The sequence below is a fragment of the Homo sapiens genome, chromosome 9 (genome assembly GCF_000001405.40).
Source record: "Homo sapiens chromosome 9, GRCh38.p14 Primary Assembly".
NCBI classification, from domain to species: domain Eukaryota; kingdom Metazoa; phylum Chordata; class Mammalia; order Primates; family Hominidae; genus Homo; species Homo sapiens.
This window is the reverse complement of record NC_000009.12, coordinates 24,406,032-24,418,109: the sequence shown is the minus strand read 5'-3', so window position 1 is coordinate 24,418,109 and position 12,078 is coordinate 24,406,032. Positions and strand designations below refer to the sequence as shown.

General features: G+C 37.0%; 1 annotated feature.

Moving 5' to 3' along the window:
• Positions 8,681-9,228: an enhancer, noted in NCBI's record as "NANOG hESC enhancer chr9:24408880-24409427 (GRCh37/hg19 assembly coordinates)". NCBI's record gives its function as "activates a minimal SCP1, AML or CMV promoter by ChIP-STARR-seq in primed H9 embryonic stem cells {active_cell/tissue: H9 hESC(primed)}" and the evidence as "EXISTENCE:reporter gene assay evidence [ECO:0000049][PMID:30033119]".

Sequence of the window (12,078 nt, the reverse complement as noted above, 5' to 3'; positions counted from 1 at the left end):
AAAAATACAAAAATTAGCTGAGCCTGGTGGCATGTGCCTGTAATCCCAGCTACTCAGGAGGCTGAGGCAGAAGAATCGCTTGAACCTGGGAGATGGAAGTTGCAGTGAGTGGAGATCATGCCACTGCACTCCAGCCTGGGGGACAGAGCAAGAATCTGCCTCAAAAAAAAAAAAAAAAAAAAGTTCTAAAACAAATTTTGAGTTTATAAATTAAAACTGAATTTTCTTATTATTGGCCCTAGATCATTTCTTAGACAATGTTGACTTGATGAGTTTCATGTTTACATGGTTATTTCATTTCCAAAACCAAGATTTAAGCTCTTTTTGTCCATATGTGCAACTTTGTGTTAAATAAGATGTCAAGTACAGGAAAAGAACTTCTGACTAAAATCTTTGTATCTTTTTATTTTTACCTTTTTGTAATGTATAATATTTTGTAATTTATAATATCTGTTTATAAGAAATGGCAGGTCAGTGATTAATAATTTGAGGATATGAAAGATTTAGTCACCATTATAGCTCTCTCATCTGATGATCCAAGACCTGCATTAAGAAAGGCATCAGGGAGCATTCCAAGGGTTTGTTGAGGGTAAAAAGAGAGCCAAGATCACAAGCAGACATTTAATTCTTCTGCCTTCAAAATTAAGCCACTTAGATGAACCTTTTGGTCATTCTTCTAAAAATGGAACAATTGTTCTTTTTCATGCGCACCATCATTTTCTATGCTTCTTAGTGAGTCATTTGTGGAAAAATCTAGCTGATAGCTTCCAGGGCAGTGTGCAGATTCAGAAATAATTTTCCTTTCTAATTCAACTCAGGGTTGTGTAGCGTCAGGTTAAGTGGGACAGAACACACCAGAATATAAGAATATCTACATAGAGAAGCATTCCAAAAGCTATGTTCACCAAAAGCTTTGAAAAAAATATTTTCTCAAAATACAAATTTTTTTCAACAAATATTCAAAATTAGCATGAATATACTTATTTTAAAATATTAATTCCATGTTAAAATTTTGTCCTCCATAATTTTGCTATAGAACTAACCTATAAAAAAAGACTGCCTTAAAATTAATGATGTCCTCTTCTTATTTTGGTTTCAATACATAAATAAAGTATAAGATGTACTGGTTCACTAACTCCAGCATAAGATGAATAATGTTTCATTAACTATTCAGCATATCCCATCCTTTAGCCAAAAGGAAAGATGATCATACCTTCATTTTCAAGCTAGAGGTAATATGACTAAACACCAATGTTACTAAAACATCAACATCAACTTAGGTGATTGATTATCTAGTGAGCCCTTGATATTATTCAAGTTATAAGTTCTGCAAACTATGACGTTCCTTCTAAGATGGTGCCTCAAATAAACTCATCAGGATTCATTGATGTAGAACTTCCATTCGTTCTATTTTTTGGAAGTTTTGTTCTACTTCATAGTTTTAATTTTTGATTTCCAAAAACGTACTAACCTAGTAGTTTGCTGTGTGTATAGCAGTGGATTACATATATTGTCTAGCTGTATAGTTATATATTTATCTATCTATGCATATATTTGTGTCCTGTGTTTCCTGGGTGCTAAGACATCATTGATTACTAGATGTACTATTAATAGCAACCTTGGTCAACAAATAAATACTATCCTTAATTTTAAGATACTTCCCTTTTAAGAACCTATAAAATTCATTTTTAAAGTGAATCTTAGTAAAAGGCCATATGCATGACTGTATCTCCCCATTTCATCTCCCTCCCTGAAATAACTTACTTCTGAAACAACGCTGGAAGTGCCTGCCAAAGTAAATAAAAATGAGTCTCATTTGAAAATTCAAGTAACAACTCATTCCCTAGAAAAGAAATAGTTCTTCTCTCATAAAAAAAAAAAATCAATAGCTCTGAAGACCAAGATTGATAACCAGCTAGGTTAATAATACTTTTATGAACAATTTGATGAGATTAGAAGGTTTTGAAGCCAGTACTATGGGCATCTTAGGGTTGGTTTTCCATCTTTGTGCTTGCTCTGAACTGACAACTAATTGGTAGTTGTCTTAACTACTCTTTTACAGTGTAGGTAGGAGAATAAAAGAGAAAATAAAATCTCAGAAGCAGGAAAGTTTTATTTGCTACTGTCAATAATGTTCCCTCAGGCTTTTTTCCCCTCAAAAGGGAAAAGTCAGCCATATTGTTCCTGTAATCTGATGTAACTATGTTCTTACTGTTTCAAGCCATTGCTTCAAATGCATTTCCTCTGTGCTCTGCTGATCTAACAACATAGCACAAGAAAGTGCTGTAATTGTTGATATGGACCTAGTAAGGTGCTCATGTATATAAATACTTTTAGTTTATTCAGATAATATTTAATATTCTATTTTATACCATAAACATTTTCAGTAGTATTAGAGCTAGAATGAACTTCCAAAACCAAGAAGCCCAAATCACTTCTAACTTCAGTGGAAGCCAAGTTCTGACAAGCTCAGTGACTTTTACAAGGCTAAATTCAATCAATTCCTGGAACCACAACTTTCTCACCAAAATACTATCTTTGGACACTATTTCAGTTAGGGATTTTAATTGAAAGCAATAGAAACCAACTTTGCGTAAATGACCCACCCCCAACCACCAAAACAAAAACAAAAACAAAAACAAAACAAAAAAACAGGAGTTTTTTGGAATAATATGGTATAGCAAACATAGCAAACAGAAACAATGGAAGTCACTGAACTAGACACAAAAAGGAAAGGAACAAGTGCAGTTCTGGTGATCTGGATCAGATGCCCCCCTGGAGATATAAAAACATCTATCGGTTTTTTGTCTTGGTGCCTCAGTTCAAGTTTATAATTCCAGGCATACATTTCTTGAAACTTATTAAAAATTAAAAGTGTACTTTTTTTGACAATTGGCGTTACAACAGTATCTCCAAGTATAGGTGTTAACCACCACCGCCCCTCTCCACCAAAAAAAGAACAAAAAAAAAAACAAAAAAAAAAAAACAACACCCGATGCAGACAGCAGAAGGAGGAAGGTAGGCTGGTTAAGCCAAAACTTTTGTCTAAAAGTTAATCAGAAGCACAACAGTTAATCTTACATTATCCTCATAAAATATTTCAGATAGTTATTATTACCAAAGTTAAGGATAAGGGCTCTGAGGAAAAAGGGGTTAAGAAGCTAGAAAAAATTATCAGGAACAAAACAGTTATTCCAACTTTTTCTACAGATATTTACGGGGTACAAGTGCAGATTTCTTCCATGCATGTATTGAGTATGGTGAAGTTTTGGCCTTCAGTGTACCCATCACCCCAATAATTAACATTATACCTAATAGGTAATTTTCCAGTTTTCATTTTGATGCTCTTTCCAGCATACAATTGGGGTTATAAAACACAAAAATTGTGGGACAATTAGTAAGTGCAATTCAGATTTTTCCCATAAGAACAGTAACAGAGGGACGAATTTTTCATTAATCCAAGAAAATCTATATTAGTGAAATGCCTATTTTAGAATATTTATTTATATCACTGTAAATTGTATAAATTTGATTCACACCATTATAATTAATAGTGGTATAACTATAATTTTTCTCTGATGGTTGAACAAGGCCCAGAAAAAATGTCTTACATTACTAACAAAGAGTAATGAGCACCTTGCTAATAATAACTTTTTAAAACAGCTAAACTTTTGGAAGAATTGTATATTCTAGGTACTAAAGCGCTTTATGTATATTAACCCATTATCACACATAATAATTATATGATGCAGGCTCCATCAGTACCACAATTTCATGAATGAAGGTGTTGAAATACCAAGAAATTGGTATAATCATTATCACTGTTTTACAGAAAAGGAAATTAAGATCACCCAGCCAATAATTTAAAAGGTACAGGTAAAGATATTGATAATAATAATTTTCAACCAGATGTTTTAAGTGCCAGTATATTTTCTTTCTCAATCAAAATCTTTCCAAAACTCTTACTAAGACTGTTATTTTGTTCAGCAATCCATTTCTTTGAGTGATAAGAATTAGTAAACTTCAGTTAATTTCTTTTGGAAATTGTCCCAAATCAAGAATTAGTAAGGCCTGAGCTAATAAATTATCACTGCATTTGTAAGCATCACCTAAAGGACCAGCAGCACCAGAGCATACAAAGCAATTGGTCACAGATAATATATTGTTAGCCAATGTTATAAAACAGTTCAAAGAAGAAGTACTCTTGCCAACAAAATTGTTTCTGGTTAACATAACGAAATTTCTTTAAATACCACTGAGTCATCTCTTAAGAGATTGTTTCATGTGAGTCATCCGGAATAATAAATCACAACATCCTTAACAAAATTTTGAATCTAGTCTAAGGGCAATGTTGTGCTCTCCTGAAAACTTGCATCTAAGTAGGACAGAGAAAAAACAGCTCTGAACTGTCATTCACTGGGGCTGACAAGGGTTGAATTAGAAGAATATCATATTTTTTGGAAAACATTCAGGAAATAAACTGCCTTTGCATAATGTCTGTTTTTTTGTTTGTTTTTTGTTGTTTGTTTGTTTTTTGTTTGTTTGTTTTTGTTTTTGTTTTTTGGTAATGGGGAAAGTTGTAGAATTTAATGACCCCCAAGCTATGCTCTTGGAATAGTACCCTTTTAGTAGGATCTTCATGGTCAATAGTCTTGATTTGCAAATCATTAGCCAGCAAATAAAGGATTGAATACAAAGTATTTATTTATCATGGGGCTGGTGCTACTAGTCATGCAAAGAACATGATTGCTTGCCACAAATAGTTCTTCTCACTCATCAAAAGTTTCCAAGTATGTAACTGAGAAGGCTGAGTTTCACTTAGTATCACTACGGAATGAATATCATTATTTCCATGATATTATAACAACGCACTTTTTTCTTTTTTTAATAAGATTTCTTTTTTATTATTATTATTATACTTTAAGTTTTAGGGTACATGTGCACAATATGCAGCTTTGTTACATATGTATACATGTGCCATGTTGGTGTGCTGCACCCATTAACTCGTCATTTACATTAGGTATATCTCCTAATGCTATCCCTCCCCCCTCCCCCCTCCCCCCACCCCACAACAGGCCCCCGTGTGTGATGTTCCCCACCCTGTGTCCAAGTGTTCTCAGTATTCAATTCCCACATATGAGTGAGAACATGCAGTGTTTGGTTTTCTGTCCTTGCAACAGTTTGCTCAGAATGATGGTTTCCAGCTTCATCCATGTCCCTACAAAGGACATGAACTCATCCTTTTTCATCGCTGCATAGTATTCCATGGTGTATATGAGCCACATTTTCTTAATCCAGTCTACCATTGATGGACATTTGGGCTGGTTCCAAGTCTTTGCTATTGTGAATAGTGCCACAATAAACATACATGTGCTTGTGTTTTACAGCAGCATGATTTATAATCCTTTGGGTATATACCCAGTAATGGGATGACTGGGTCATGTCATCTGCAAACAGGGACAATTTGACTTCCTCTTTTCCAAATTGAATACCTTTATTTCTTTCTCCTGCCTGATTACCCTGGCCCGAACTTCCAACACTATGTTGAATAGGAGTGGTGAGAGAGTTCATCCATTTCTTGTGCCAGTTTTCAAAGGGAATGCTTGCAGTTTTTGCCCATTCAGTATGATATTGGCTGTGGATTTGTCATAAATAGCTCTTATTATTTTGAGATATGTCCCATCAATACCTAGTTTATTGAGAGTTTTAACATGAAGGGCTGTTGAATTGTGTTGAAGGCCTTTTTTGCATCTATTGAGATAATCATGTGGTTTTTGTCTTTGGTTCTGTTTATATGATGGATTACATTTATTGATTTGCATATGTTGAACCAGACTTGCATCCCAGGGATGAAGTCCACTTGATCATAGTGGATAAGCTTTTTGATGTGCTGCTGGATTCGGTTTGCCAGTATTTTATTGAGGATTTTTGCATTGATGTTCATCAGGGATATTGGTCTAAAATTCTCTTTTTCTGTTTTGTCTCGGCCAGGCTTGGGTATCAGGATGATGCTGGCCTCATAAAATGAGTTAGGGAGGATTCCCTCTTTTTCTATTGATTGGAATCTTTTCAGAAGGAATGGTACCAGCTCCTCTTTGAACCTCTGATAGAATTAGGCTGTGAATTCATCTGGTCCTGGACTTTTTTGGTTGGTAAGCTATTAATTATTGCCTCATCACAGCCTGTTATTGGTCTATTCAGGGATTCACAACTTCTACCTGGTTTAGTCTTGGGAGGGTGTATGTGTCCAGGAATTTACCCATTTCTTCTAGATTTTCTAGTTTATTTGTGTATAGGTGTTTATAGTATTCTCTGATGGTAGTTTGTATTTCTATGGGATTGGGATTGATGGTCATATCCCCTTTATCATTTTTTCTTGCATCTATTTGATTCTTCTCTCTTTTCTTATTTATTAGTCTGGCTAGTGGGCTATCAATTTTGTTGATCTTTTCAAAAAACCAGCTCCTGGATTCATTGATTTCTTGAAGGGTTTTCTGTGTCTCTATCTCCTTCAGTTCTGCTCTCATCTTAGTTATTTCTTGCCTTCTGCTAGCTTTTGAGTGTGTTTGCTCTTGCTTCTCTAGTTGTTTTAATTGTGATGTTAGGGTGTCAATTTTAGGTCTTTCCTGCTTTCTCTTCTGGGCCTTTAGTGCTATAAATTTCCGTCTACACACTGCTTTAAATGTGTCCCAGAGATTCTGGTATGTTGTGTCTTTGTTCTCATTGGTTTCAAAGAACATCTTTATTTCTGCCTTCATTTTGTCACACAACCAGTAGTCATTCAGGAGCAGGTTGTTCAGTTTCCATATAGTTGAGCTGTTTTGAGTGAGTTTCTCAATCCTGAGTTCTAGTTTGATTGCACTGTGGTCTGAGAGATAGTTTGTTATAATTTCTGTCCTAAGCACTTTTGCTTAGGAGTGCTTTACTTCCAACTATGTGGTCAATTTTGGAATAAGTGCAATGTGATGCTGAGAAGAATGTATATTCTGTTGATTTGGAGTGGAGAGTTCTGTAAACGTCTATTAGGTCCTCTTGGTGCAGAGCTGAGTTCAATACCTGGATATCCTTGTTAACTTTCTGTCTCATTGATCTAATGTTGACAGTGGGCTGTTAAAGTCTCCCAGTAGTACTGTGTGGGAATCTAAGTCTTGTTTTAGGTCTCTAAGGACTTGCTTTATGAATCTGGGTGCTTCTGTATTGGGTGCATATAGATTTAGGATAGTTAGCTCTTCTTGTTGAATTGATCCCTTTACCATTATGTAATGGCCTTCTTTGTCTCTTTTGATCTTTGTTCGTTTAAAGTCTGTTTTATCAGGGACTAGGATTGCAACCCCTGCTTTTTTTTGTTTTCCATTTGCTTGGTAGATCTTCCTCCATCCCTTTATTTTGAGCCCATGTGTGTATCTGCATGTGAGATGGGTCTCCTGAATACAGCACACTGAAGAGTCTTGACTGTTTATCCAGTTTCCCAGATTGTGTCTTTTAATTGGAGCATTAAGTCCATTTACATTTAAGGTTAATATTGTGTGTGAATTTGATCCTGTCATTATGATGTTAGCTGGTTATTTTACTCGTTAGTTGATGCAGTTTCTTCCTAGTATCGATGGTCTTTCCAAGTTGGCATGTTTTTGCAGTGGCTGGTACCAGTTGTTCCTTTCCATGTTTAGTGTTTCCTTCAGGAGCTCTTGTAAGGCAGGCCTGGTGGTGACAAAATCTCTCAGCATTTGCTTGTCTGTAAAGGATTTTATTTCACCTTCATTTATGAAGCTTAGTTTGGCTGGATATGAAATTTGGGGTTGAAAATTCTTTTCTTTAAGATTGTTTAGTATAGGCGCCCACTCTCTTCTGGCTTGTAGAGTTTCTGCCAAGAGATCCGCTGTTAGTCTGATGGGCTTCCCTTTGTGGATGACCTAACCTTTCTCTCTGGCTGCCCTTAACATTTTTTCCTTCATTTCAACTTTGGTGAATCTGACAATTATGTGTCTTGGAGTTGCTCTTCTCAAGGAGTATCTCTGTGGCATTCTCTGTATTTCCTGAATTTGAATGTTGGCCTACCTTGCTAGGTAGGGGAAATTCTCCTGGATAATATCCTGCAGAGTGTTTTCCAACTTGGTTCCATTCTCCCCGTCACTTTCAGGTACACCAATCAGACATAGATTTGGTCTTTTCACATAGTCCCATATTTCTTGGAGGCTTTGTTAGTTTCTTTTTACTCTTTTTTCTCTAAACTTCTCTTCTTGCTGCATTTCATTCATTTGATCTTCAGTCATGGAAACCCTTTCTTCTACTTGATCAAATCGACTACTGAAGCTTGTGCATGCATCATGTAGTTCTTGTGCCATGGTTTTCAGCTCCATCAGGTCATTTAAGGTCTTCTCTATGCTGTTTATTCTAGTTAGCCGTTCGTCTAATCTTTTTTCAAGGTTTCTAGCTTCTTTGTGATGGGTTCAAACATCCTCCTTTAGCTCAGAGAAGTTTGTTATTACCGATTGTCTGAAGCCTTCTTCTCTCACCTTGTCAAAGTCATTCTCCGTCCAGCTTTGTTCCATTGCTGCCGAGGAGCTGCGTTCCTTTACAGGAGAAGAGGTGCTCTGATTTTTAGAATTTTCAGGTTTTCTGCTCTAGTTTCTCCTCAACCTTGTGGTTTTATCTACCTTTAGTCTTTGATGATGGTGAAATAAAGATGGGGTTTTGGTGTGGATGTCCTTTCTGTTTGTTAGTTTTCCTTCTAACAGTCAGGACCCTCAGCTGCAGGTCTGTTGGAGTTTACTGGAGGTCCACTCCAGACCCTGTTTGCCTGGGTATCACCAGTGCAGGCTGCAGAACGTGTTGCTGCCTGATCCTTCCTCTGGAAGCTTCATCTCAGAGGGGCACCTGGCTGTATGAAATGTCAGTCAGCCCCTACTGGGAGGTGCCTCCCAGTTAGGCTACTCAGGAGTCAGGGATCCACTTGAGGAGGCAATCTGTCTGCTCTCAGATCTTAAACTCCATGCTGGGAGAATCACTACTCTCTTGAATGCAGTCAGACAGGGACGTTTAAGTCTGCAGAAGTTTCTCTGCCCTTTGTTCAGCTACGCCCTGCCCCCAGAGGTGGAGTCTACAGAGGCAGGCAAGCCTCCTTGAGAAGCAGTGGGCTCCACTGAGTTCAAGCTTCCCAGCCACTTTGTTTACCTACTCAAGCCTCAGCAATGGTGGAGGTCCCTCCCCAAGCCTCGCTGCTGCCTTGCAGTTTGATCTCAGACTGCTGTGCTAGTAGTGAGTGAGGCTCCAAGGGCATGGGGCCCTCTGAGCCAGGCACGGGATATAATCTCCTGGTATTCCATTTGCTAAGACCGTAGGAAAAGCACAGTATTAGGGTGGGAGTGTCCCAATTTTCCAGGTACCATCTGTCATGGCTTCCCTTGGCTAGTAAAGGGGAATTCCCTGACCCCTTGTGCTTCCCAGGTAAGGCGATGCCCCACCCTGCTTCGGCTGACACTCCATGGGCTGCACCCACTGTCCGACGAACCCCAGTGAGACGAACCCAGTACCTCAGTTGGAAATGCAGAAATCACCCATCTTCTGCATCGCTCACGCTGGGAGCTGTAGACTGGAGCTGTTCCTATTCGACCATCTTGGAACCTCCTCCCGCAAAGCACTTTTTTCTAATAATTCTAGCCAGCTTGAAAATAATGACTTCCTCTGCCAAAAGATGCTTTTCCTTCATAATTATAAATATTTTAATGTAAAATATATTTTGTAATTTCTCTAAGTGCCAAAAGCCTAGAAACTTATCTCTTTCTCTTTTTTTATTTAATCTTTAAGCCCTCATACTGGTCTCAATATACGGTACGTTTTTATAAATATATGTATGCTGAATCAACGAATAAAGATAGGACATATGGACAAAACTAATTATGCATAAGTAAAATATCTCAGCATTGCAAAATTGTTATGCCTAGGCAAGTATCTAGTGCAGGGAGGGAATGATTATTTTTTAACTCTCACCTACGCCATCTCAAGTAAATCTACTCTCTGACAGAGATTGTTGAATGGCTAGGAAGCTGCACATGTTACTGAAATCCTTCATTATACCACTTAAATATCCCTGTCTTTTTCCTCAACAACCAAAATTTATAGTAGGTAATAACACATTCATCTAGGATTGTAAACTCATGCTATGGAGAAAGAATCAGTGGAGACCACAACCATCTTTTCTTCTTTACCTGCAAGTTAGAGTCACAGAAATCAGGTATTTAAATTCATAGTTTTCAAATGACATTCCATGGACCCCTGCGGGCTGCCCTTAGCAAGTGAGGGAAAACCTGAGTAGATGGCAGTGGGTGTTTCACCATTAGCATCCCTCTCCACCAAATTAAAAAAAAATAAAATAAAATCTGTTTTTAATCTTTTATATATAACAGTCTAGGTAAAATTGCCTTTGGGGAAAAAAGTAAAAATTTGGATCACCTATCTAAATGAGTACTGTTTCCTTTAAGGTAGCAAAGTTCAATAATTATATATTTATTGCACTATTGAAGCTTCTCCAAATATTTTGGACACTTCTCTGGAAAGTGATGTTAGACAGGTTGGTCCAAACTTTTGAGTTTCTTCTTTGGTGGAAAACCTTCAACTCTTAAAGTTGACAGACTTACAAAACAGTCAGTTTATTCAGACTCATTCTGAAGTTAATGATAGGAGATTAAGACACATAATTAATAACCTGTTTGGTCAAATGTGACTACAAAGCAATGAGATGTGCAAGGTCCGTGTGGACAAGGGCAAAGGAAGTGTTGGAAAATGGAATGGGTGTCTTTCAGCTCCCTTATATATTTATGCATATCAAAATCCTGAAAGCACTGGAGAGTTTGGTTATAATGTTTATGTGTCCAAACTATTTGAAGTCTTCTGCTAATTTAACATGTTAGAGAGAAAAACAAAGACAGAGAGAAAATTCTCTATTTTTTTTCTAGAATCAGAAAGTACTTAGCTAGCTTTTGTTAGTCATCCTCTCACTATAAAGTTCATAAATTCATACACTTTCTTAAATGGCCCTTAAGATGCACCCACTTCCTGCCAATTGAATTTTTTAACTTTACTGTCCATACTTAAGACTGTGACTAATGACCTTCCAGTATAAAAACAAAATGAATAAGAAGGTTTATTACTTGTTTACTGCCAATCTTTCTGGAATTTCCGAAAAATTAGAAATAATTTTTAATAACAGGAAAGTTAGTTGATATGTACAAAAAGCATTTCAATTACTAGTTTTGATTTATTAATAATGTGTATTATTAGTAGCTCTGACTTCTTGACTTCTTACTCAGTGTCATGCAATGTGTCTTTACAAACAATGTCGCATTCACTCGACATGCAAACATTGCCCACAGTCTCGTGGCTTATAAATGGTAGAGACTGAGTGAACCCACTCACATACTCTCCTCATTCAGGTCTCTGCTCAAATCTTGCCTTCCTAGCCTCTGAGATTCTCTATTATATACTTGCTTTGTTTTCCTTAATACCACTTATCTCCCTAATAAATTATACATGGATTCCTCTACCCATACCTCCAAACTATAAAAGCAGTTTTAAAAAAAATGCTTCCTACCAAATTTATAGTGCAATGTAACAGTGCCTGGCCCACAATAGGTCCTCAGTAAGTATGCATTAAATAAATGAACAGATGCATGAATTAATGTTTGATAAATAAATGAATAAAAGAAGAAATAGGCATAGATTCCTCTCTTCTTTAATCTCAGGTGTTTTTACTACACCATACCACTTCACAATATCAGACATCTTATTGCTAAAGGCAACAAATTCCTTCCATCTACTATCCTGAAATCTCTATTCCCAAGTAATTGCCCATTTTATTAGTAACACAGGGCAGGAAACCTGGATCTCTAACTGGAGGCTGCAGGATAGGATTGAGGGCAGTAGTGAGGCTCAGTTGCTGTAGAAAGACAAAACAAGGATTGGGGAGCCAGCTGTCCCCTGAGGAACCCTCATATATCCTAGAAATGGAGAAATACCAAGGAAGGTTGCCACCCCAGATCAAGAGCAGTAGTCTGGGTAGAGAGACTGGAAAGTACTCCATGA